We start from the raw sequence: 26,371 nt of genomic DNA on the forward strand, positions 1-26,371 counted from the left end.
ATTCAGAAAACGCTTAGAAGAGTGCCAAACATGATAAACGCTTAATACATGTTATTTTTTTTAATGTGTTGAACCAAAAGGATGCCTTGAAGATCAGTATTTCACATTTGGTGTACAATACATTCAGCCACAGAAATATAAAGAACTGCTGTCCCTTAAAAATTCATGCTTGCCACAGGGTAGTTCAACACACATTTATGGAATGCTTGTGTAATAGATGTCTGACACTATTGTAGGCCATGGAAATACAAAAATAAATAAGAAGGCACATCTTCACCTTGAAGCAAAATCCCACCGATTATGAGTCCCCACATTTTCTCCAGGTAATGAGAAAACATTCATCGGCTTAAAAAACCTATTCCCTACTTGAATCTGAATGGATTCAAAATCACTTCTCAGCAAAGAGCTTCAGGTCTCTCCCTAAAGTTCCATCTAATATATTCATTCTGAAATAAGCAATGGTAAGGAGAAAAAGTTAAGAGACCAATCTTGGTGGCAGAGAAGAGTCTACTTCTTTAATTCAAGATCAAGTTTCTCTTCATAATGACCTTGTAGCCCTCGCTCCTCAGACTTGCTGGCTGACTGGACCCACAAGAAATACAGGTACCAAATTGTGGGCTTTCATACATTAAAAGGTTTTCTCATCTTGCCTTGTATTCTTACAAATTATTGGATTTAAATAAGAAAAAACAAGACTCTTGTTTCAGCCTCTCTTATTCTAGACTTGGTGTGCCCTGGGTGTCTGACATCCTCATTCCATTCATGATTGCCATTCTTTCTAGGGGAGTCATTGCTTCAAATTATGTGTGGGTGTATGTCTGGGAGCTGAAGACATTCAACGTCCCCATCTAGTTGCAAATTTAGTTATACATTTGGGGTTTAGCTATTCAACTTTGCCAGCTTTGTGCCTCCTGCATAGGTCCAGGAGCCCCAGGGGTAGACTGATGCTTACTAGTGGAGTTAGCACAGACAAGTTTGAGCCTCTCATACCTGTCTCTTAAACGAGGGTAGTAATACTCCAGAGAAGAAACTGAAATGATGTTTAAACTGAAATAATGAAATAACACACTCCATAAACTGCAAATTTGCTATTCAAAAGTAAGATATTATTACCATTTCTCAACTTCTCCAAGTCTGTTTCACATTTGTAAACTACAGATAGCTCCATCTTTTTCAGTGATAGCATAAGGTTTCTGTGAGGACTCTGTAGGTCATGTACATATATTATTATTATGACCATTACAAATGCGAGTTATCTTCCTTAGATTTATGCCTGTACCTCCTTGGGACACTGATCATTTTTTTTTTTCTGTTTCTATAAAGAGGAACAATATTCTCCTTCACAAACCGTACCTTTCAGCAGTTTCTCTTTAACTCTCAAAACTTGATGATTTCTAACAAAATGATCACAATAGCTCCAAGGCACAGAAGATGCTGACAAGACCACCTTCTTCCCTGGAAATGTCGGAATCAACATTTCACACAGACTGGCCAAAGTAGCACACAGCCTGGGCCAAAAAGACCACTGTGCAGGCAGATGTCCAGGCTTGGAGCAGCCACGGGCACAGAAACCCCTCTTCTAGCTCTGTGGGTAGAAATTTGTTTATGGTTATCACCTTCCACAGAGTTTCCCAGATTTGCTTTCTTTTAATTAACCCAAATCAATCTCCAATTAGCCATATGAAGTAAGGAACAAAGAGCTGTGCATTGTATCACCGTTAAATTTCTCTTGTTCCTTTGTTTGTTTACTCTCTGTCTACCCCGCCCCCCCCCCATTAAAATGTAAACTCCATTAAACAAGAACTCTGTCCTTGTGTGGTTCAAGGACCCAACACAAGACCCAACATGTAGTAGGCACTCAACATCTGTAACCCTATTCCATCATCTTTTTCCTTGCACCAACATTTTCCTCTTATGGCAGACTGGGCTTTAGAATTTAAACCTGGGAAGAATTTTAAGAGATTATCTAGTCCATGTACTTTTCAAATGGTTGTAGCACTGGAACTCTATTTTTAATCACACTAAAGCGTGTGTGTGTGTGTGTGTGTGTGTGTGTGCATGTATGTGTGTGTGTGTGTTTTAAATGCATAAACAAGAGGTTAAGACCTTGGAGTCCAATTGCATGCCCTTCCTTCTTTCTTTTATATCCCTTTGCTGAAAGTCTTAAAAACTATCTCGAGTTTAGGCTGGGTGCGGTGGCTCATGCCTGTAATCCCAGCACTTTGGGGGGCCGAGGCGGGTGGATCACGAGGTCAGGAGTTCGAGACCAGCCTGGCAAACATGGTGAAACCCCGTCTCTACTGAAAAAATACAAAAAATTAGCCAGGTATGGTGTGATGGGCCCCTGTAATCCCAGCTACTCGGGAGGCTGAGGCAGTGAGCCGAGATCGCACAATTGCACTCCAGCCGGGCAACAAGAGCAAAAGTCTGTCAAAGTAAATAAATAAATAAATAAATAACAAAACAAAAAAAAAACTATCTTGAGTTTAAAAGCCATTCATCTGGTCATTGACTTAACAAATATTTATTGTGAATACAAAATGTGCCAGGAACCACTAGGGCTTGGAATACTTATGGTGAATAAAACTGCCCAGGTTCTTGGTCTCATAGAGCTTACATTGAACGGAATATAGGAAACAACGTGAAATGCACAAATAAACAAAGAATCAAAATAATTCAGATAGTGATAAAAATTATGAAGAAAACAAAACCTCTGTAATGGGATAACATGATGGGAGATTTCGCGAGAGAAGGAGATCAGTCATGTGTGTCTGCTCTAGTTAGGGTAGACAGGCAGGTCTCTCCAGGAGGTGATATTTGAGCTGAATCCTGTACGACAAGAATAATGCAGCCAAGCAAAATGCTAGGGAATCCAACCCGTGTGGGTTGCTGATGGGGAAATAAAGAAGCAAAGGAGGGATGACTGGCCCCGAGGTCATCCTGTTAGTTAAAGCCTGGACCCGAATGGGGGTCTCCTGTCACTCCAGACTTATCATTGTAATATAATGGAGTTTTTCCTTAGTTTCTGTAATTGGCAGGTTCTTGTCTTCTGGAGAAACTTCCTTCAAAACTGATCTTCTTTCCCATACACTTTTATTTTATTTATTTATTTTTTGAGACAGAGTCTTGCTCTGTTACCCAGGCTGGAGTGCAGTGGCACAATCTCGGCTCACGGCAACCTCTGCCTCATGGACTCAAGTGAGTCCCCTGCCTCAACAGATTACAGGTACCTGCCACTGTGTCCAGCACATTTATTTTTTATTTTTTAGTAGAGACGGGGTTTCACCATGTTGGCCAGGCTGGTCTTAGAACTCCTGACCTCAAGTGATCTGCCTGCTTCAGCCTCCCAAAGTGTTTGGATTACAGGCATGAGCAACTGCGCCCGGCCCTTTCCCATACTCTTCAATGTATTTCTTTGATTCTTATTTATCTAACAAGGCACTCATGTAACCAACTTCCGTTCATATATATTAAAAATAATCAGGCCAGACACGATGCCTCACACCTGTAATCCCAGCACTTTGGGAAGCCAAGGCAGGCGGATCACCTGAGGTCAGGAGTTCGAGACCAGCCTGGCCAACGAGGTGAAACCCCATCTCTACTAAAAATCCAAAAATTAGCCAGGCGTGGTGGCGCACACCTGTGGTCCCAGCTACTCGGGAGGCTAAGGCAGGAGAATCACTTCAACCCGGGGGGTGGAGGTTACAGTGAGCCAAGATTGTGCCACTGCACTCCAACCTAGGTGACAGAGTGATATTCCATCCCCCCAAAATAATAACAATCAAAAACAAAGCGCATATGTGTGTGTGCATGTGTGTATATATGTGTGATGGGAGCTTAAGGTATATTTCCTAAGCAAAGGTAAGACCCCATCTATTGGGAAAGAAAGGCAACTTGACTTCCTTTATTTTAATATTTTTAAAAAGAAAAGCCATGTTGCATAACACCAAGATATTTTCACCTAAAATTCCAGCAAATCTTAACAGAAGAAATTCTAAGGTGCTTAGAGGTAACTGAAAAAAATGTCACTATCTTTATGGCTCCAACCTAACAATGAAGCTGAGTGTGTCTACTCTCAGCTTGAATGAAATAAAATGGCAACCACAACCAAATGACCTTGCTCACTTTATGCTAGTTACATCTTGCTCTGTTGTTGAAAAAAAAAATGCTCGGGCTGGCCCAGAGCCTAAGATGTGATCCACAGACACCCCACGCCACCCCCCAAGATCGTACGAGTCATAAAGAAGTGACTGGAAGAGCTGTGCTCTAACTGAATCAAGAGATAGGGAGGGAGAGAGGGGACTGTGTTACCGTAAAAATTCTTTAGATTTAATATCGTTTGGGAAAATTTTTCTTTGTTGGTTTGCTCCTAGAAGCAGATCCCATGCATTTCTTTTTTCCAGTTCTATTAAATCCCTAAACAGAGCTGAGTTTTAAGGGCTTAGGGCTGCCCTTGGGAAATAGGTGATTATACTCTCTGCTTAGGGTTTTAGCGATAAGAAAAAAAGAGGCAGTGGATTGAATTCCCCTCCCCCAGGGCAATTTCTTGACTCTCTTTTATAGTTCCCCGTTAAAGCAGACACATATTTAAAAAATGAAGTGGTGACACATATAAAATCCCATCCATCAATCTGCACTTTTCAATTGTTATGTATATATGAGAAATAGATAGACAAACAGATGGAGAGACGGATGTACACAGCTGAAAGACTAGTTAGTTCTTTAGTAAGAGGCTCTACAGAATATTTTCCTTTTTGTTTTTTTTAATGTTTCATGTAATTATTTCACAAGGGGTAATCGCTTGGGAATCTTTACCCTACAGAAATATTACAAGTGTAATTGAGAGGATCTGGGGAAAAAAAATCAGTACTCTCTCTAAAAATAAATTTAATGAATCAAACTCTACTCCTATAAATGTGTTTCTCAAACTGGAACTCTAAGTCCCTCAGAATATGGCCAGAGATGGAGTGATTTGTTCATTACTTCTAGGAAGGGTATTCAACAATTAATATGGCTTGGACCTCCCCCTTCCGCCATGGCTGGACCTTGTCCCCCACATAACTTCAGACCCTCCTTACTGCTACAAAACATTGCCAATTTTGTCACTGCTCCTTTCAATTCTTCCTCAATAAACATATGTAAGAAGAGACTGAAATTTGAGAAACAAAATCAAATATCAGGGAACTCTGCAAAGTGTGTCATACCAAAAGAGGCCTAAGAAGTGATACAAGCCACATACCAAGTGCCACTTACTGTTTTTCCAAGAAGCAAAGTAAATACCAGGAAGTTAAAGGACATGACTAAATTGCCCTACTAGGTAGTATCAGAGCCAGCACTAGAACCTTCAATACCCAATCCCCTGACCAGTACTCTCATACAGTATCACTACGAATAAGTATAGTAAGTAGGTATAATACAGTATGACTATATCACTCCTTCTTTATTTATTATTTGTTGTGAAGGCTAAGATGGAAAAAATGAGGCTGTTAGGGTAATTTCCTATCAAAAAGAGTGACAGAATTTAGAAGCAGTGCTCTTAAAGATGGGAATGTGCTCACTTTTCCCTGTCTGCTATACCAGCTAACAAAGTCTTCTGTGACCTAGAAGATCGAATGCAATTACATTGCCCATATATATTTGCTATGCTGTTTGAGTCTCCCAAGGGCAGCATAACAGTACAAAGGGAGTGACATCTTTATGAGGTTAACCCTTTTCTATTTTAAGGGTAGACTACTGAAGGCAGATGTGTTCCATGGAGTATAGCAAGAATGCTTGAAATTTGGTAGTTAGAAGGAATGACAGCATCACCCAGGAGGGAAAAAATTAATCGCTGTTTAGAGGAACAGTGATCTGAGGAAGCCTAGGAGAATGTTGATGCACATGAAGTGAATGTGAACTGACAAAGAGGGAATTTGTATGAATTATAATACATTGAGAAGAGACAAAGAGAAAGCAGGAAAACTGTTTGTTAAGCTGTGCCATGTACCAAACAAAACTGTAGGCTATTTCATAAACTGTATTATCTCATTTAATCCCCACAACCTTTTGAGACAGCTACTATTATCCTGAAAAGCAGAGTTATGAGGCTCAAAGACGTTAAGTAACCAGTCCAAGATAACACAGCTAATGAAATAGAGTCATTTTCCATGCTAAAATTTTCCAGCTCTGATTCTGTTAAACTTTTCTACTTACAAACCACCCCAAAAGTTAGTGGCTTAAAACAATGACGCAATATTTCTCATAATTCTGTGGATTGGCTGGGCAGTTCCTCTGCTGGTTTCACCTGGGCTCACTTGTGTGGCCACATTGAGCTGGAAGATTGGCTGGGTCCAAGATGGCCTCACTTGTGTGTGGGCAGTTGGTGCTGATTAGAGTCGGGGCACCTTGGTTCTCTGCATGCTCATCTCCCAATTAGCTAGACTGGCTTCCTTACATGTTGGTATCAGGTCGGTGTTCCAAGAGGGCTTCATAAAGGCCATCCTCAGAAGTAGCACATGTCATTTATGTCACGTTATTGGATAATGCAAGTCACGAGGCCAATCGAGATTCAAGGGGGAAAAAAGCATCCATTTTTTGATGCCAGGAGTGGCAAAGTTACATTACAAAGGGGCGTGTGGGGTGGAAGGGATCATTGTGATCATTTAAAAAGCCATCTACCAGCCAGGCATGGTGGCTGATGCCTGGAATCCAGCACTTTGGGAGGCTGAGGTGGGTGGATCCTTTGAGCCCTGGAGTTTGAGACCAGCCTGGGCAACATGGCAAAACACTGTCTCAACAAAAAAATACTAAAATTAGCCAAGGGTGGTGGTGTGCACCTGCAGTCCCAGCTACTCAGAAGGCTGGCGGGGAGGATCACTTGAGCCCAGGAGGCAGAGGTTGCAGTAAGCAGAGATTGTGCCACTGCACTCCAGCCTGGGTGACAGAGTGAGATCCTGTTTCAAAACAATAAACAAAAAAGACAATCTACCACAGGCTCTAAACTCCATGCTACTCTTACTACCAAAATATTAATAAAAATACCAAATTTCCCCTAACTGTTCTTTTTATAGGTTTATTAAAAATCCTTAATCAAATGACTACTTTTTATAACCTGGAATAGATGTCAGGAAAACTTGGGCTGTAGTCCAAGATCTATTGCTATGGGTTCTTGGAGGCTTTCTCTTTAATAAAAAAATGAGCTTTAAGGCCAGGCGCAGTGCCTCACGCCTGTAATCCCAGCACTTTTTGGAGGCCAAGGTGAGTGGATCACTTGAGGTCAGGAGTTTGAGACCAGCCTGACCAACATGGTGAAACCCCATCTCTACTAAAAATACAAAAAAAAAAGAAAAAGGAAAAAAATTAGCCGGGCGTGGTGGTGGGCGCCTGTAATCTCAGCTACTTAGGAGGCTGAGGCAGGGGAATCACGCGAACCCAGGAGGCGGCGGTTGCAGTGAGCCAAGATTGCACTGCTGCACTCCAGCGTGGGCGAAAGAGTGAGACTCCATCTCAAAAAAAAAAAAAAAAAGCTTTAATTTCTTCATTTACGAAAAGAGGATTTGGTCTGTCTTCTCTCTAAGGGCTTATACAACTCTATAAATTGCAGAATAGTGTCCTATTTTTAGACTAATATGAACTGGCCCTCTAGGGGGATGGGCAGGATAGAGATGAGAGAAGGCTAGAAATGAGATGGCTTCTGTTTTGCAACTCACTCTCTTTCATTGCTGTGGGTGCAGAATTTGGGAGGCAGTGAGCAATCAGAACTCCTTCCCATGTGTGGTTGTAATCTTATATGATCTGGGTGCTACTCTGTTTTCATTTATTATATGCTAAAGTAGCATGGGTCCTCCAGCATTGTACCAAGGATTAAAGTACAAGTCATCACTTTAAGGGCTTCTAGACCTGGTTAGACAAAACAATTCCCATGCAACACGCACTCACACTAGCTAAGCAGATCGGAGAGGTGAAAGGGCTCCTGAGCCAGTATCTTCCTGAGGGAAATGCTTAGCTGGGAGCTCGCTCTCTCAGAAAGATATTGTTGCCTAGTCTATGGAAGATCAGGTTCCCAAGGAGAAAACTAATGTTTAATTTAGCACAAAGACAGCTCAGAGTCACTCTCTGGGGGACTGAGCCTGCAAACAGATCCACATGCAAAGAATCTAAGGGAGAAAAGGAAGCTCTCTTTGGTGCAATGGCTCTAGGACTTGGGCCCAAACTTTACTAAACGGTTGCCTCTGTCTGTTGTTTCTGTCAGGATAGCTCCTCTTTCCTGTTTACTCTCATCTCTGCACTTTGCACTTTAACACTTCTGCGAAACAACCAAATGGGATAATACACTAGCACATACTTTGTGCTGTCTGAAATTAAGTAGCACGGTGTGGCAATCAAATGCGCAAGACTTAGCCGGTTTAGCAAGTATCAGAAACTTAGGTGAACAGAAACATCAACAACAACAAAAAATCCTCATTTCTCAGCTGCTTAGCCAGAGAATGTTTTTATTTTTACATAATTTAGACTCCAGTGACCTCCAGATATGAGCATTTTACACATAAGTAAGACACAGTACAGTACATATTGTATTCAATTAAGCTACTTCTTTGCACCCTGGTTACCAGGACTCTAAGAGATACTGTGTATCCAACAGACTCCCGGTAAGTTATTAGAGGTTGTAGCCGACTTTTGCCTTAACTGAATTTTCTTAGAAACAGACATGTAATTAACTTTCTACTGAAATCTATGAGAGCTACCTGAAAAGAACTCTGTTGTACAATGAGGCATTTAAGGTGTTGGGCTTCATGTGGGTGACAGTTATTAGAGGGCTGGATAAGAATTACAAATATAACTCAGCCACATTTCTGACAAAAGAGAAATTTTAAAGCAAAAATGTTAATGATTCCATGTTAATGTATGAATCTGCCAGAATGACTCAGGAAGCAAGAACACTGTTAAAAACAAAACAACCCAACTATGTTTGACACTACATTTCCTAAGCATTATTATCCTCAAGAAAGGGGAGGAATCTAAGGTTAAATCATGGGGAGTAAGCGAAAAAAAAAAAAGATAAAAATTTTTGACTACATTCTTTGCTCTGAGTTTGGACAATAAATCCATCCTTGCCCAAATATAATCTACTAAAGAATGGAGACTATTTGTTTTCTAATCCTGTCACTTCATAGAAACACCATGCTTTCAATTAAGAATCGTCATCAATAAAACTTGCTTTGAACCCTTGGCAACATCTTCCTCATGTTTTTTATGGAAAACCGCACTTGAGGAGGTACTGAGTAAAGAGATTCTGAGGTGAGAGCCACATCAAGGCATGGAAATTTCAACATGCTCCTGCTTAGGGTTGGAAAGACGGCAAATCTGTGTTGCCTATTCATCTGCAGATGCAGTAAATTAGCAACTTTAGCCAGGGATCTGGCTTTCAAAAGCATAAATTTAAATCTCCACAGTAGGAAGCGTCTAACCTTTTGTGGCTCTAGGACCAAATTCACTTAAGAATTATTCATTAATTTCAATTAATAATTCAATTAAATTGGTAAGTTTGTCTATTTGGTTCCAATGATTCAAAACTCCCAATAGATGGTTTAAATTTCTCATTTACCTACTAAGCCCACACTCCACACTTGCTGGGTAACTGAATGGAAACCCAGACTGAATTCTAGAAGTAAGGAGTCAAGAGGACATTCACTCTATTCAACTTCTAGATTAGGAGTCCTAGAATCTTAGGATTGGAAGAGGTAGTACTTGGTCCCATTCTCAAGAAGGACACTATTTAACATTCTAGGGAGATGGAAATCTATCCCAGGTGATGTCTCCATATTCAACTATTGAGGGAACTGATAATATGATACTCTTCACTAACCATTTTAAGTAAACATTAAAGAGAAAAGCCATGCTCTTCCTCTAAATGTCTGATGCATTACTGGAAACACAATTCTGGGCTGGGAAACCTATGAATCTGATTCAGGTATGTTACTTCACACACTAATAATAACAGCTAAAATTTATTGAGCCTTTACGAGGTGCTAGGCAATTGCTAAATTTAATCAACAGCTCTAAGATGTTAGTTCTATTACTATCACTCCATTTCACAGTCGAGAAAACTGAGGCAAGGGAATTTAATTGACCTATCCAAGAAAACACAACTAAGTGTTAGAGGGGTGATTTGAAATCTGGTCGTCTCACCTCAGAGTTAAGAGTTAAGATCTCAGGCTCTTAACTGCTATGCTTCTTTGCCTCCTTACACAAGCCAACTGTAACAGTTCTATTTCTAACCCCACTCACCTCCCGTCTACACTGTAAATTCAAAGAGGGCAAAGGCTATACTGAAGTGTCCATCAATGTATTCCTGGCACAGTTCATGGCACAGAAGAGCTGTACAAAGATTATTTACTGAATTAATGAATATTTTCCCAAACTCTAAAAAGGACCCATGCATACAATCTTGACGTAAGAGTTTAAAACCTTTGCTAAAACATTAAGACCTTTGGAGAGCTGTAGCATGTGTCAGTATTGCCATTTGCCCATTTTCATATCCATTCCTTCAGTAATTTGGCTATGGTAGGGTCCAGCTCTCTAGTTGTCCTCAACCTGTGGAGAATATGTGAACTTCTCTCTTCATGTCCTCTATAGGGAAGTGGAATAGCTTTTGCTCTTTTACCTCTGTTTCTCACAAATGTGTAGGCCAAGGTTGAAGCTAGTCAATAGCCCATTCACTACCGTCAGCATCCAAGCATCATGCCATGAATCAGGGAGGAGGGAGATGTTGGCTTTTCTCCTTTGCCATCTTTCCTTAGGGTCCCTTACTTTTCCCTTGTAAACAAGAACTAAATGGGGGAAACTGGTATCCAACTGGACCTTAAGGCAAGTAAAAAATTTGTAACACATCTGTATTACAAGCAAGGAAATAAGTACATCTCAAAGACCATCTAAAATAATGCTTTTCTCACGAATTTTTGTTCATGATTTTTTTAATAATGAGAATACCTTTTCCACATTAGTATACAGGCAAACTCATTTGTTGGGAAGACTGATTTACACATCAAGAGAGTATAAACACTTTTACCAACAGGGCATTTCTTGTTTGCACTGGAAGGCCCAGTGAACCTAAGAAGCGAGGTATAGCTTGGTCTGCTTCTTTTACTTCCTCTTCTGCATCTAGCTAGTGTGCTTTAAAACTATGTCCTTTTAGTGTCAAAGGGCATGTCATGCAGTATATAACTCACCATGAATGGGAGAATGTGTAAATAGCAAGGCATTAAGCAGCTCAAGGGACTTGAAGATGGGTAGTACAGAGCACTTAGGCAATGCGCTGTGAGAAGAGGCTGCTGGAGGGGAAATGTAATACTTGTCTTCAAGTATATGAAGGATTATTATTGCATCATAGCTGTTGATTCCTTGGAGCCGTCCTTGCTCTACCATTTTCCAGGGCTTCTGATTTGCTCTTACCGGATCTCCAGGCCCTCCAGGATGTGGATCAATCTCATTTGTCCCCCTCAGTACTCACGTCCAGCCACACTCAGTCAAGCACTGCTCTGTTCCCCAAACACTTAACTTACATGCCTGCACTCAGCGACCCCAATCCCACATTTCCGTATTTTCTCCCTCTTCTCAGGCCCTGCTGGTGACCCATGTTCTCATATAGCTATCCCTGGCCTATATTTGAATCTCTCTACTACCAACTACTAGTGGTACTCATGTTTTGAGCACCTACTATGTATCAGGCACTATGCTGACTGTTTTGCTAAATAACTTTAGCTTTATTTTGCAGATGAAAATACTGATGCCAAGAAAATAACAAAATTATTTTCTCATATTCATACAGCTAGTAAGTATAACATAGGGACCTGAACATGGTCTAACTATAAAATCTATGCATTAAATTATTCAATTTAAGCTTCAGTTTCCTTATATGTAAAATGGGACAAATGTTGATTACTCACCTGTTTTTTGCAGGCCTTACATAAAATATGTAATTAAAAAGCCTTGTACATTCTAGGACTCAGTAAATATTTGTTCCTCTCTTCCTCTGATTTTTCTATATCAGTTTTGGTCCATTCTACCTGGTTAGTACTTTTCCTGTTACTTTATTGAAGTGGTTTTGCATACCATTAGGCTGTAAGTAAGCAGGGACAATGTCTTTAGCTGTATTTCTCCTTATTCTCCCAGGAAGCCTGCTGGAGTGTGACGGAAATTAGCATGAAAATGCAAAATAAAAAATTTAGAATTGTTTTCACTAAACATTGCCCTGCCTGTGAACATAAACATATATAAGGGTCTGGATTAAAGAACAAGAAAGCAGTAGAATCCATTCAGAAAGGCTTAGCTGCCATGGATAGCAGAACTGGATGACTGTTTTCAGATTCCCTTTCAGGCTTTCTTAGATTAAATAACAGTGCTAAACACAAACACAAACAACAACAAAAAAACAAAAACAGCTAATTATGGCCACTCTTTTAGTCATATTTAAATTGGTATGTCTAAGAACATCTGAAAGCCCATATTTAAACATATTGGTATTTAAAAATGTTTACAATACAGAAGCCATAAGTGATTAAACATTACGATTTAGAAACATTTGATGAACATCACCTACCAATATTATTTCAAAGAAAGCAGATGCCTTCTATAAACAAACATTGTCCTAAACAAGCAAGATATCTTGGTTTACATGATAACATCACCTTGATGTCAAAGAAAGGTTTTTATCAATTTTTTGTAAAGTATTATACTAACTCCTCTCTCCACTTGAACCCTTTTGCCTTTGTGAGATCTTATAATTATATTTACTTGAAATAAGTGGTAGGAAGGTCCTAGATAGATAAGAATTCTCCTTTTTTTTTACTTTGTTCTAGAAAACAGAACGAAAATAGGTCAGTTTTTAAGGAAATGATGGCTGCATATATAAATAATATAAACACTCCTATCACTGTCCTAGGAGGACATTTATCATGTAGACAGCCATAGATACCCAGATCTGGCCTCCCACTTACAGCTCTCAACTTTTTAATTGTCAATTGGAAACTTGATTATTATCAGTTAAAAATAACCAGGGTACTCTGGCAATGATTTAACTTGTTTGACTTTCTTAAGCTAACAATTAACATTTTAGACAATTGTTGACAAAATATTTAACTCTCCCATGCATTTGTGTAAACAACTTTTCTAATATGCCTTAGATGTTCTGGGGGACACATCTTTCCAAAGCTTCCCAGGTCCATGCAGAGGCCTGTAAAGTAGATGCATTCAAAGACTCCAAAGACTTTCATAGCATTGCACTAGGATTTCCTGGGACCTTCAGGAACACTTAAGTATACGGATACGTCAGTCTTATCTTGACAGCAGTAAATTTGAAATGCCAATCCCTCTATTTACAATAAGTGCTATTTCATCATTTAAAACCGACAACTGAAAGCTGAGTATACATTTAACTCCTAGAAGAACCAGTATTATCATTCATTGTTTAGAAGTTTATTACTACTAACACTAGTATTGCATTTTGGCAGTGCTTAATTTTTCCTAAAGCTTGTTCAGAAAAACACGCTCATTTGCTTCTCTCAACAAGCTGGGGCAGCATGATTGTCCTCTCTGTTCCACAGATGACTGCTAAGTGACTTGTCCTAGGTAACCCAGATGGTGATCCAGCAGGCACAAAACCAAGGGATGTAGGCTCCTTGTCTGATCTACTTTCTTTCCTCCACATGACATTAGAGAAAAGATAATCTCTGAAGCCAGAGATGACATGGAACCACTTATCTAGTGATCCTAGCAACACAATCTATGCAACAGAAAAAGAGCTTGTCTCAGGCAAAAGGGAAAGATTAATAATGTACCACAGAAGCTCTAAACCTTACTGTTCCATGGACCAGCAATTATTCAGTTTCACAGTTCATTCAAAGATTCAAACATACTTCACCAGAAAATGAGTTAGTGCCTAAAGTCTGCTCCAAGTGGTTAGAAATGCAGATCTGCTCAAAGCCCTATAATCCGGGCCCTCTGAAAGGCCCTGTTCCTGCAGACTCTGCAGCAGCGGGGCTTCCCCTGAACTTGTACTTGAGCTAAATGAAGAAACTGGCTGAGTAAGGGCTGTAGAATTAGGCTGTCAATGTGGACAGAATTAAAACTGGCTTGGAGGTTATTCTTGCATTGTTCTTGAAACTTAAGGCTATTGAAAGGATTCAGACATTATATATTCCTTGCTGTATAATACCCATGAAAGTCAACATTATCCCACCAAACAGAAGTTGTCCTTTCACCTTCATTCAACAAATATTACCCACTGTCTTCAAGGCATTGTACTAGAAGGTATGCAGGATACAAAGCTTTCATCTGAGGACACAGCACATCTTTGATTTTAGATGATCAATATTCTCTCCCTTTCTCCAAAGGACATTTATGGCCACTTATGGCATACGAATTAACTATTAAAGTTATACATTCAACACACCTAAGTCACATAAATCTGGTTATGGACACAGTAGCAATAAAATTAAGAAAAAATTCTGACACTCACCCTGAACAAAGGCCCTTTTAAAATTAATAGCATATCTGAAAAATAAGAGGAGCCCGAGTAAAGTGAGACCTGCCAATGTAATGGGCTTGGTGAATCACTTCAAAATGCCCAGGCCTCCCTTTGGACACAATGTTATCAGGTTAATACAGCACTTGCATCACCATCTCTGAGTACCGTGCTGAGTAACAACGGGCCAAATTTAGCAGCTAAAATGGAGAGGGAATTTCCAACAACCCGTGCAATGCCACATATTCTCAGTGAAAAGCAACTACTAGAAATATACTATCCCTTACCCTCCTAACTTAAACTGTGCCTCTCTGCATCATCACTACACCTGGAGAGGGAGCTCCTCTAAGGGAATGTCTCAGGAGATGGCTGGTGGTTAGAAGAGAGAAAGATTCCCTCTTAGGCCAGAGGTAGCACAGCAGCCAGCTATGGCTTCTGCAGCAGTAAGCTTTCAGTCGGGAAGGGCCAGACACCGCTCCCTCACTTCCCTCCCAGCATGGGTATTGCTACTGTAAAGTTACCACGACCACTAAAGTTGGTTTCATTTCCCATCATGAAACACCCTAGAAAAAAAAGGCTGTCTCAGCTTACTGCCAAGTTGGACAAAAGCAGAAGCTCAAAGAACAAGGCCAGAGGCAAACATGCCACCTTTCCTTCAGAGGCTGGGCTGTGAAGGCCACAAGGGAAGCCCACTGTGGCTCTTCACGGCCCCGCTCCGGCCTTGACACCCCGGGCAGAGATCAGTCTTCTCCACTCAGGGTTGGGCCGGGTGCCTCACTTGCGGTTCCATCCCCAGAAACACTTACCAGGAGACTGTGAAGCACACAAAGCCGCATTATTGGGAGACTTGCAGACAGATTATAAATTTACTGGGGACAATCAAGGCATTTAGATACTTTTGGCTACAGATGCTGGTGACACACACATACATACAAACCTCATTCTTCTCTCCATTTGAGCGATTCTTTACCCCCCTCCTTTACCCTAACATCTCTTTTTTCACAAAACAACCTCCCACTGCTTTCCTAGGGAATTCCAGGGAGAAGCGGGAATAGAGCAGGTGGTAGAAAAAGGATATTAGGCTTCGAAGCTCTAATACAACCCCACAAGCTAGTGCTGCTATTCAAGGGTAAAACTGTAAACCCTGTGCAGTTTAACTGTTGGTAGTTATTTTTCATCTGGAGCTGGCCTCAAGGAGTCCCATTCCTAGGTAGCCCAAGTAAATGTGCTTATGGCTGGGGAGAAAAGCACCATCCTACTCCCCAGAGATTCCCAGGGTCTTCGTCACCATGGACCCAGGCCAGGGATTAAGGGAAGCCAGAAAGAGCCATCCTGAGCGTCTGGCCAGAGGATGTCCTCTCCCGAGAGCTCAATATCAAGCTCCTTTGGAGGAGCAGTTAGACACAATAGCACCATCTCCTTTGGGCTTTTTGAGTACTTTGGGGCTTGCATGGCCATTTCCTGTCGCTTTTGCTAGGGCTGACCTGGGTAAACTGGAGCAGACATAGAATCCAGAAGTCCCATGGAGCTCCAAAAGGGAGGAAGCCTGCAGGGCCACAGGGCAGGGTTCTACCTTCCACCAGAGGCCACTGGTCCAGCAGCTTTGGGGGGAAGCCTGCAAACAGCAGGCAGTCACCTGACCAGGACTGGCACTGAGAATCAATGATCCAAGGGATACTCCTCTGGGATGGTGTGTGTCTGTGCCTCTGGGGAAGAACTTCCAGCCAGAAACTTAATCAGAACTTTTGGGTTTGATATCCTATCACCAGGAGTGGCTGAAGACAAGGTATTTCCTAGGATGATGATCTGTGTAAATAGCTGCTTCGTGCCTGTCTGCTTAACGAATGCTCTAAGGGAGCATTACTGGATTGGACTGGAGTGCTTGGGAAAATAATCGAGATGTGGCTCAGGAGTGAGAGAGTCTAGAGGGAATCAGAGAGTAGGCCTCTTAAGAAACAGTGCCTCCCTAGTCTCTCTTTGGGATATTTTCCCCAAATTTTGTTTTTGACTGAGGGGACATTCGGGGAATTTGCTATTTGTTACAGCTTACCATTTATGTTCTCTTAAGCGAAGAAGAAGGGGGTCACTTCAAAAGGGAGAGGGGAAATGGGGCAAGGAGAAAAAGGCTTTAATAAAGGCCAGCTGGGCTGATAAATGCTTTGGGGCTGAAAAATGGCTTGGGGGCCTAATCAGAGCTGGCTGGCCAAAGCTGGAGGATCCATGAGATAGAACCTTCCTCAGTGGCTCAGATCTTGCCAGCTGGTAGCCTCTTCTTTTATAAGATGTGGACCCCAGAGAGCCTCTGGAAAACTCAGGCTTCTTATCAGTTAAGGAATATCCTATAAGCGAAGGAAAACCCAGGAGTGAGCACCAACAGAACATGATGAGTAGGCGCATGAAACCACCCGAACACACCCAATGGCCTTTAAGGTAGTCAGGTGACATCTTGGCCTTTTTCATTGCCATCCACTCTACCTTAGGCCAAAGCAAACTCTACCCTCACAAAAGGTCACAGGACCACAGCCAGAACCATGAGAAAGCCAGGTGCTTACCGCAATCAGGGCTGAGTTCCTCTGGTCCCCTGGGGTTGAAGCGGGCGGCTGCTGCTCTCCGTTTATCCCACCACTGCCACCATTATTGCTACTGTTCAGCAGGTGCTGCTGGTGGTGATGGTGATAGTCTGGTGGGGGCGGTGGGGCTGCTGTTGCTGCTGCTTGGGAGGCCGCAGGAGGGGCAGCAGGGGGCGGTGGAGGGGCTGTAGTGGTGGCAGCAGTGGCGGTGGCCTTGGTGTGTTTGCCAGCTTTCCTTGCCCCCTGGCCATGCTGTACAAGGCTCAGGAGCTGCAAGGTGCTTTCTCTTTCCCGGTCTGAGCTCTCGGCCCTACCTCGTTCATATCGTCCTTCACAGCTCAGGTGGTGTTGGCGGCAGACAGCGATCCGAGCCCGGAGGCGCTCCACGATAGCACTGTGCACTCTCGGGGTGACTGAGCCCCCTCCAAGGAGCCCCGCCCCAGAGGCCCCCCCTAGCCCTCCTGCGGGGGCCTGCGGGGGCGCTGTGTCCCCCATCTTACCGGACACAATGATTGCTGCCTCTGGGATGGTGAGGTGGAAAGAGGCTACTGCTGGCTATTGCAGGCAAGTCTGTTTTTGACAATGTGAGCTCAGTGTTCAGGGCCACATGAATAGAGGTCTTCAGAGGTTGTGGGGGAGCCGTGGAGAAGTTGTGGGGGAGGGGAGTTAGTAAAAAGAGGGTGGGGAGAAAGAATAGAAACCAACTGGGGGGAGGATAAGTTGGAAACAAACCCTGATTAACTTACTCTAATTGCATTTGACAGCTCTGGAGAAGTTGGACAGAGTTGGTGGATTTTTTTTCCTCCACCAAGCTGACAAGAGCCACTAGGTACTTTGTAAACACACGATCTGGGGGTTAGATCAAGAATTCAGGGATTGTCCAGCAAGAGACAGAAACACACAGCAAAAGGTATTGAGAGAGGTATTAATAGAGAGGACTCCCCCTCACCTAGTTGTTTCCGACAATTCTTTATGGGGATGTTTCTGCAGAGAAACACATTTCTACCATGTCTATGTAACCAGCAGCCTTGACTTTTCCTCAGGTTAAATAAAAAACCAAAACAAAACAAAACAGTGCTGTTTCAGAAGATGTTTAAGTCACTGTTCAAAATGTGCAAAAATCAAGGGAGACTGTCTTTTGGCTTTTAATTTTTCCTCCCTTTCCTTTCGCTCCGGTGTTTTCTCCTCTTTGGGGTACTGTAGGATGTTGTCTTCTCCCAAAAGAGGGAGACAGCTTTTCAACTGTTAACAATGTCAGTAATTGGACTTTTGGACCATGCTTTTTTCTTCAGCTAATCCAATCACCGGTAAAATCCTCACTCCCTCTAAGGTTTCCTAGCCTTAAATGAAAAGCAATCTTAAGTCGCTAGCCACTGAGAGAGATCCTTCAACACATTTTTTTCTTTCCCGCTTACGTTTCTATTCCTCACCCCCGGCTCTATTCTAATACAGTATCAAGAGAGACAAACTCTTCCGAGAGTAATTTACAAACGATGGTCAAACTTACAAACTTCCAGCAAATTGCACCGAGTCATGTCCAGCCACTTTTCTGTCCACTTTTGTACATTCCATCCCCGGCCAGTGGATCTGAGGGTCTGGACTCGCAATAAGCAATCTGGTTCTATCTCCTGTATTTGCTCCGCTTTATAGATGGAAAAAAAAAGTAGCTTGTATTTTCCTTTCTCTTTCTCGTCTGTTGTTAGCCGCTTTGCTGACACTGGCTCGCGCCCGGAGTCACGGCGATACACAGGCTTTCATTGTGCTCCGATAGGAGAGGGAGAGAAAGAGAGAGAGTGAGACAGAGAAGGAGAAAGAGAGAGCCAGCAAGCTGCAGATGGGGGTGGGGGGGCGGGGAGAGGGCGGGAGAGCTCGTTCGAGGCTCCCTGGTGGAAGGCTGGTGCCACTGCGCGAGTGAGTAATCGCAGCCAGGCACCGGGGAAAGGGGAACGCAGAGGGCCTCCCAGTGGCTGAAGAGGTAAATCCCAAGCCCTGCGCATCTCAGCTGCCCTGGCTCAGCTCAGCATCAGACTCGGTTAAGCGGGGAAGGCTGGGGAAATTCCCCAACCTCTACACAACCATTTCACCAGCTCTAAATGTTTAAGAAATTCCGGGCCAGGAATGTGTTTTCCCTTTCAGCCCTACATTACGCCCCGCTGAGGATATCATTTTCATTTTTCAGTATATTGTAAATGACACCACTGAGCAACCTAGCACGAGCTGTGTGAGCACCGAGGAAATGTTCATTAATAGAATAAGGAAGATATGAATGTGTGTGTTGAGGGCGGAAGGGGTTGCGCGTGGAGAGGAGAGGTAATCACATTGTTAGCTCCTAAAGGGCAGGCAGGTGTAGCGTTTGTCTACCTGCCTGCCCATTTGTGTGTCTCTGGATAAGTGAGTCTGGGTGATCACAGGCAAATCAGTTGGGATAAATAAAATATTTTATGAGAATGATACAATTATCGATACCAGTTCTAGAAAAAAACGCTTTTTTTTTGGGAATGCATGATTGCCTATGAAAAACCAAATATAAGACCTGAAGTATCCTTAGCTACCTGGTGCACATATACAATGAGGAAAGTCAATGTGTAGCAGCTGAGTTTCAAAAAGTTTTTTTTTTTTTTTTCTTTTAATGGAGTCTTGTTATGTTGCCCAGGCTGGAGTTGAACTCCTGGGCTCAAGTGATCCTCCCACTTGAGCCTCCTGAGTAGCTGGAACTACAGGTACTCACCACTACTGCACCTGGCTCTGAGTTTCAAGAAGTTTAATAATAGAAACCAAATAGATCTCACACAGATCATTGTTCCCCCATTTTCAAGTGATCCAACCTTTAAAATATCCAATCCTGGCCAGGCACAGTGGCTCACGCCTGTAATCCCAGCACTTTGGGAGGCCAAGGCAGGTGTATTACCTGAGTTCAAGAGTTCAAGACCAGCCTGGCCAATATGGTGAAACCCCGTCTCTGCTAAAACTACAAAAATTAGCTGAGCATGGTGTCATACGCCTGTAATCCCAGCTACTCGGGAGGCTGAGACAGGATAATTGCTGGAACCCAGGAGGCGGAGGTCGCAGTGAGCTAAGATCACGCCACTGCGCTCCAACCTGGGCAACAGGGTGAGTCTCTGTCTCCAAAAAAAAAAAAAAAACTTATTGTGGATTCTGCTTATTTTCAATTATGAAGATTAAATTAAGGTGAGCATAATACTGCAACAGTCAGGACCAAAAATATTCTGGGTATCCTAATTTGGAAGTCATTTGGATTTGAGGTCTCAAATAATATACCTTCAGTAATCTAAACAAACTCTGGCATTTCACGAATATGGTCGTTTCAAACTGAGCTATGGATAGAAATAGGCAAAATCAAGGCAAACATCTCAATACTGGATTTATTTGCAATTTAGTTCCCTATAGGATAGCCTACTTTAGTCCATTTTATTTTCACCAATCCTGTTAGCTTGGAAATGGGGACAAATACACTCAGATTTTTTGTTTGTTTTATAATTTCTTTTATTTCTTTTTTTAAATTTTATTATTATTATACTTTAAGTTTTAGGGTACATGTTCACAACGTGCAGGTTTGTTACATATGTATACATGTGCCATGCTGGTGTGCTGCACCCATGAACTCGTTATTTAGCATTAGGCATATCTCCTAATGCTATCTCTCCCCCCTCACCCCACCCCACAACAGTCCCCAGAGTGTGATGTTCCCCTTCCTGTGTCCATGTGATCTCATTGTTCAATTCCCACCTATGAGTGAGAACATGCGGTGTTTGTTTCTTCGTCCTTGTGATAGTTTGCTGAGAATGATGGTTTCCAGCTTCATCCATGTCCCTACAAAGGACATGAACTCATCAATTTTTATGGCTGCATAGTATTCCATGGTGTATATGTGCCACATTTTCTTAATCCAGTCTATCATTGTTGGACATTTGGGTTGGTTCCAAGTCTTTACTATTGTGAATAGTGCCGCAATAAACGTACCAGTGCATGTGTCTCTATAGCAGCATAATTTATAGTCCTTTGGGTATATACCCAGTAATGGGATGGCTGGGTCAAATGGTATTTCTAGTTCTAGATCCCTGAGGAATCGCCACACTGACTTCCACAATGGTTAAACTAGTTTACAGTCCCACCAACAGTGTAAAAGTGTTCCTATTTCTCCACATCCTCTCCAGCACCTGTTGTTTCCTGACTTTTTAATGATTGCCATTCTAACTGGTGTGAGATGGTATCTCATAGTGGTTTTGATTTGCGTTTCTCTGATGGCCAATGACGATGAGCATTTTTTCATGTGCTTTTTGGCTGCATAAATGTCTTCTTTCGAGAAGTGTCTGTTCATATCCTTTGCCCACTTTTTATGGGGTTATTTGTTTTTTTCTTGTAAATTTGTTTGAGTTCATTTAGATTCTGGATATTAGCCCTTTGTCAGATGGGTAGGTTGCAAAAATTTTCTCCCATTCTGTAGGTTGCCTGTTCACTGTGATGGTAGTTTCTTTTGCTGTGCAGAAGCTCTTTAGTTTAATTAGATCCCATTTGTCAATTTTGGCTTTTGTTGCCATTGCTTTTGGTGTTTTAGACATGAAGTCCTTGCCCACACCTATGTCTTGAATGTTATTGCCTAGGTTTTCTTCTAGGGTTTTTATGGTTTTAGGTCTAACACATAAGTCTTTAATCCATCTTGAATTAATTTTTGTATAAGGTGTAAGGAAGGGATCCAGTTTCAGCTTTCTACATATGGCTAGCCAGTTTTCCTGGCACCATTTATTAAATAGGGAATCCTTTCCCCATTGCTTGTTTTTCTCAGGTTTGTCAAAGATCAGATAGTTGTAGATATGCGGCATTATTTCTGAGGGCTCTGTTCAGTTCCATTGGTCTATATCTCTGCTTTGGTACCAGTACCATGCTGTTTTGGTTACTGTAGCCTTGTAGTATAGTTTGAAGTCAGGTAGCATGATGCCTCCAGCTTTGTTCTTTTGGCTTAGGATTGACTTGGCAATGCGGGCTCTTTTTTGGTTCCACATGAACTTTAAAGTAGTTTTTTCCAATTCTGTGAAGAAAGTCGTTGGTAGCTTGATGGGGATGGCATTGAATCTATAAATTACGTTGGGCAATATGGCCATTTTCACGATATTGATTCTTCCTACCCATGAGCATGGAATGTTCTTCCATTTCTTTGTATCCTCTTTTATTTCATTGAGCAGTGGTTTGTAGTTCTCCTTGAAGAGGTCCTTCAGGTCCCTTGTAAGTTGGATTCCTAGGTATTTTATTCTCTTTGAAGCAATTGTGAATGGGAGTTCACTCATGATTTGGCTCTCTGTTTGTCTGTTATTGGTGTATAAGAATGCTTGTGATTTTTGCACATTGATTTTGTATCCTGAGACTTTGCTGAAGTTGCTTATCAGCTTAAGGAGATTTTGGGCTGAGATGATGGGGTTTTCTAGACATACAATCATGTCATCTGCAAACAGGGACAATTTGACTTCCTCTTTTCCTAATTGAATACCCTTTATTTCCTTCTCCTGCCTGATTGCCCTGGTCAGAACTTCCAACACCATGTTGAATAGGAGTGGTGAGAGAGGGCATCCCTGTCTTGTGCCAGTTTTCAAAGGGAATGCTTCCAGTTTTTGTCCATTCAGTATGATATTGGCTGTGGGTTTGTCATAGATAGCTCTTATTATTTTGAGATACGTCCAATCAATACCTAATTTATTGAGAGTTTTTAGCATGAAGGGTTGTTGAATTTTGTCAAAGGCCTTTTCTGCATCTATTGAGATAATCATGTGGTTTTTGACTTTGGTTCTGTTGATGTGCTGGATTGTGTTTATTGATTTTCATATGTTGAACCAGCCTTGCATCCCAGGGATGAAGCCTACTTGATCATGGTAGATAAGCTTTTTGATGTGCTGCTGGATTCGGTTTGCCAGTATTTTATTGAGGATTTTTGCATCAATGTTCATCAAGGATATTGGTCTAAAATTCTCTTTTTTTGTTATGTCTCTGCCAGGCTTTGGTATCAGGATGATGGTGGCCTCATAAAATGAGTTAGGGAAGATTCCCTCTTTTTCTGTTGATTGGAATAGTTTCAGAAGGAATGGTACCAGCTCCTCCTTGTACCTGTGGTAGAATTCGGCTGTGAATCCATCTGGTCCTGGACTTTTTTTGGTTGGTAAGCTATTAATTATTGCCTCAATTTTTTTTTTTTTTAAGACCTAGTCTCGCTCTGTCACCCAGGCTGGAGTGCAGTGGCACGATCTCAGCTCACTGCAACCTCCACCTCCCAGGTTCAAGTGATTCTCCTGCCTCACCATCCTGAATAGCTGGGATTACAGGCGCACGCCACCCCGCCCAACTAATTTTTTGTAGTTTTAGTAGAGACGGAGTTTGACTGTGTTAGCCAGGACGGTCTCAATCTCCTGACCTTGTGATCCGCCCGCCCCAGCCTCACAAAGTGCTGAGATCACAGGCATGAGCCACTGCGCCCAGCCTTCATTGGAACATACTTCTATCTCTATCTGTTCCTTCCAAGGCTAAGTTCCTCACTACTCATGAGAAAAGCAGAAATATATATTTGTTAGATAAACAGAATTTGAATGGAGAACTGTCATGAGGTGTCATTAAAGAGGACAAAAATAGAAAACTTTTATTTTTAAAAGTTTAGTTTTAAAAAGTTGTCTTCATCAGACAATATCTTCTTTGTACTACTGTGGATATTTTACATTCAGCATAAAAGAAACATGTAATATTTAAACTGAAACCATTCCATTCACTCTGTAGCCCTTCAGTAACATGGAATTTGATTCATAACATGCAGTCCTTAGTCAAATCAGCTATTACTAAATGATGTAAACTTTAACTACTCTGCTAGACATAGACATATCTTAAATTGTGAAGCAGGAATTTAATATTCATACTATATTCCAGTGGTATAGGACACTTCTTTGGAGTGTCTTTTTTTTTTACACATTTACCCTTAAATAGACATTTAATTTCAAGTTGACATCATCATCAACATCTTCATTTCTGTTTCCATCGGTTGCAATTAAAAAATTACTGTTATGCCACAGCACTTCTCAAATATTATCCCTCTTAATCCACAAACAATCCTGAGAGATACTATAACTCCATTTATAAATGAGAAAAACTAAGGCTCATGAAAATTAAAGTACTGGTTCTTGTTCATATAACTAGGAAGTCAATAGACCAGAATTCTAATTCAAGACTGACTTCATGGTGTAAGGAAGGTGTCCAGTTTCAATTTTCTGCATATGGCTAGCCAATTCTCCCAGCATAATTTATTTTGTAGGGAATCCTTCCTCACTTGGGTGTTTTTGTCAGGTTTGTTGAAGATCAGATGGTTGTAGGTGGGTGGTCATATTTCTGAGTTCTCTATTCTGTTCGATTGGTCTATGTGTCTGTTCTTGTACCAGTACCATGCTGTTTTGGTTACTGTAGCCTTGTAGTATAGTTTGAAGTTGGGTAGCATGAGGCCTCCAGCCTTTTTCTTTTTGCTCAGGATTGTCTTGGCTATTCAGGCTCTTTTTTGGTTCCATATGAATTTTGAAATAGTTTTTTCTAATTCTGTGAAGAATGTTAATGGTAGTTTAATGGGAATAGCATTGAATCTATAAATTACTTTGGGCAGTATGGCCATTTTCACGATATTGATTCTTCCTATCCATGAGCATGGATTCCATTTGTGTCCTCTCTGATTTCTTTGAGCAGTAGTTTGTAGTCCTCCTTGAAGAGGTCCTTCACTTCCTTTGTTAGCTGTATTCCTAGGTATTTTATTCTTTTTGTAGCAATTGTGAATGGGAGTTCATTCATGATTTGGCTCTCTGCTTGCCTGTTGTTGGTATATAGGAATGCTAGCAATCTTTGCACGTTGATTTTGTATTCTGAGACTTTGCTTAAGTTGCTTATCAGCTTAAGAAGCTTTTGGGCTGAGACAATGGGGTTTTCTAGACATAGAATCATGTCATCTGCAAACAAAGATAATTTGACTTCCTTTCTTCCTATTTGAATACTCTTTATTTCCTTCTCTTGCCTGATTGCCCTGGCCAGAACTTCCAACACTATATTGAACAGAAGTGGTGAACTCTAGATGGATTAAAGACTTAAATGTAAAATCCCAAACTATAAAAACCCTAGAAGAAAATCTAGGCAATACCATTCAGGACATAGGCACGGGCAAAGATTTCATGATGAAAACACCAAAAGCAATTGCAAAAAAGCAAAACTTGACAAATGGGATCTGATTAACTAAAAAGCTTCTGCATAGCAAAAGAAACTGTCATCAGAGTAAGCAGACAACCTACACAATGAGAAAAAATTTTTGCAATCTATCCATCTGACAAAGGTCTAATAGCCAGAGTCTACAAGGAACTTAAACAAATTTAAAAGAATAAAACAAACCCCATTAAAAAGTGGGCAAAGGACATGAACAGACAGCCCTCAAAAGTAGACATTTATGCAGCCAACAAACATACGAAAAAAGCTCAACATCACTGATCATTAGAGAAATGCAAATCCAGACCACAATGAGATACCATCTCATGCCAGTCAGAAGGGCTATTAGGTAAAAGTAAAAAAACAAACAAAAACACAAAACAAAAACAACAGATGCTGGCAAGGTGGTGGAGAAAAAAGGCATGCTTTTACACTGTTGGTGTAAATTAGTTCAATCATTGTGGAAGACAGTGTGGTGATTCCTCAAAGACCTAGAGGCAGAAATACCATTTGACCCAGCAATCCCATAACTGCGTATATACCCAAAGGAATATAAATCATTCTATTATAAAGATATGTGCACATGTATGTTCACTGCAGCACTATTCACAATAGCAAAAACACAGAATCGACCTAAATGCCCATCAATGATAGAGTGGATAAAGAAAATGTGGTACATAAACACCAGGGAATACTATGCAGTCATAAAAAGAAATGAGATCATGGCCTTTGCAGGGACATGGACGGAGTTGGAAGCCATTTTCCTCAGCAGACTAATGCAGGAATAGAAAACCAAACATCGCACCGTCTCACTTGTAAGTGGGAGCTGAATGATGAGAACATATGGACACATGGTGGGGAACAACACACACTGGAGCCTGTTGGTGGTTGGGTTGGGGGATGGGGAGCATCAGGAAGAATAGCTAATGGATGCTGGGCTTAAAACCTAGGTGATGGGATGATCTGTGCAGCAAACCACCATGGCACACATTTACCTATGTAACAAGCCTACACATCCTACACATGTATCCCGGAAGTTAAAATAAAAGTTGAAGAAAAAAGACTGACTTCCACC

General features: G+C 41.5%; 1 protein-coding gene and 1 non-coding gene across 2 annotated transcripts in view, besides 5 other annotated features; one reads left to right on the top strand and one right to left on the bottom strand.

Annotated features, from left to right (window-relative positions):
* The window catches only part of MAML2 (mastermind like transcriptional coactivator 2), a 366,598-nt gene extending 347,733 nt beyond the window's left edge, over positions 1–18,865 (bottom strand). Inside the window, exon 1 of the mRNA NM_032427.4 lies at positions 17,053–18,865. Within this exon, the coding sequence (NP_115803.1) occupies positions 17,053–17,565 (513 nt within the window). The 5' untranslated portion in view covers positions 17,566–18,865. The remainder of the gene's footprint in view (positions 1–17,052) is intronic.
* Positions 226–1,425: an enhancer, noted in NCBI's record as "BRD4-independent group 4 enhancer chr11:96057720-96058919 (GRCh37/hg19 assembly coordinates)". NCBI's record gives its function as "activates an origin of replication core promoter dependent on BRD2, P300/CBP, MED14 and CDK7 cofactors, and independent of BRD4, by STARR-seq in HCT116 cells {active_cell/tissue: HCT116}" and the evidence as "EXISTENCE:reporter gene assay evidence [ECO:0000049][PMID:35650434]".
* Positions 8,011–8,511: an enhancer, noted in NCBI's record as "H3K27ac hESC enhancer chr11:96065505-96066005 (GRCh37/hg19 assembly coordinates)". NCBI's record gives its function as "activates a minimal SCP1, AML or CMV promoter by ChIP-STARR-seq in naive H9 embryonic stem cells {active_cell/tissue: H9 hESC(naive)}" and the evidence as "EXISTENCE:reporter gene assay evidence [ECO:0000049][PMID:30033119]".
* Positions 14,935–15,229: a silencer, noted in NCBI's record as "tiled region #6339; K562 Repressive non-DNase unmatched - State 1:Tss". NCBI's record gives its function as "represses a minimal TATA promoter and a strong SV40 promoter by Sharpr-MPRA in K562 cells {active_cell/tissue: K562}" and the evidence as "EXISTENCE:reporter gene assay evidence [ECO:0000049][PMID:27701403]".
* On the top strand, positions 17,108–17,196 carry MIR1260B (microRNA 1260b). The gene has a single exon (NR_036125.1). It is a non-coding gene; the product is annotated as a microRNA 1260b (primary transcript).
* Positions 17,482–17,741: a silencer, noted in NCBI's record as "silent region_3853". NCBI's record gives its function as "represses an Ori minimal core promoter by ATAC-STARR-seq in GM12878 lymphoblastoid cells {active_cell/tissue: GM12878}" and the evidence as "EXISTENCE:reporter gene assay evidence [ECO:0000049][PMID:35858748]".
* Positions 18,859–19,048: a silencer, noted in NCBI's record as "silent region_3854". NCBI's record gives its function as "represses an Ori minimal core promoter by ATAC-STARR-seq in GM12878 lymphoblastoid cells {active_cell/tissue: GM12878}" and the evidence as "EXISTENCE:reporter gene assay evidence [ECO:0000049][PMID:35858748]".

Source organism: Homo sapiens, chromosome 11 (assembly GCF_000001405.40).
Source record: "Homo sapiens chromosome 11, GRCh38.p14 Primary Assembly".
NCBI lineage: Eukaryota > Metazoa > Chordata > Mammalia > Primates > Hominidae > Homo > Homo sapiens.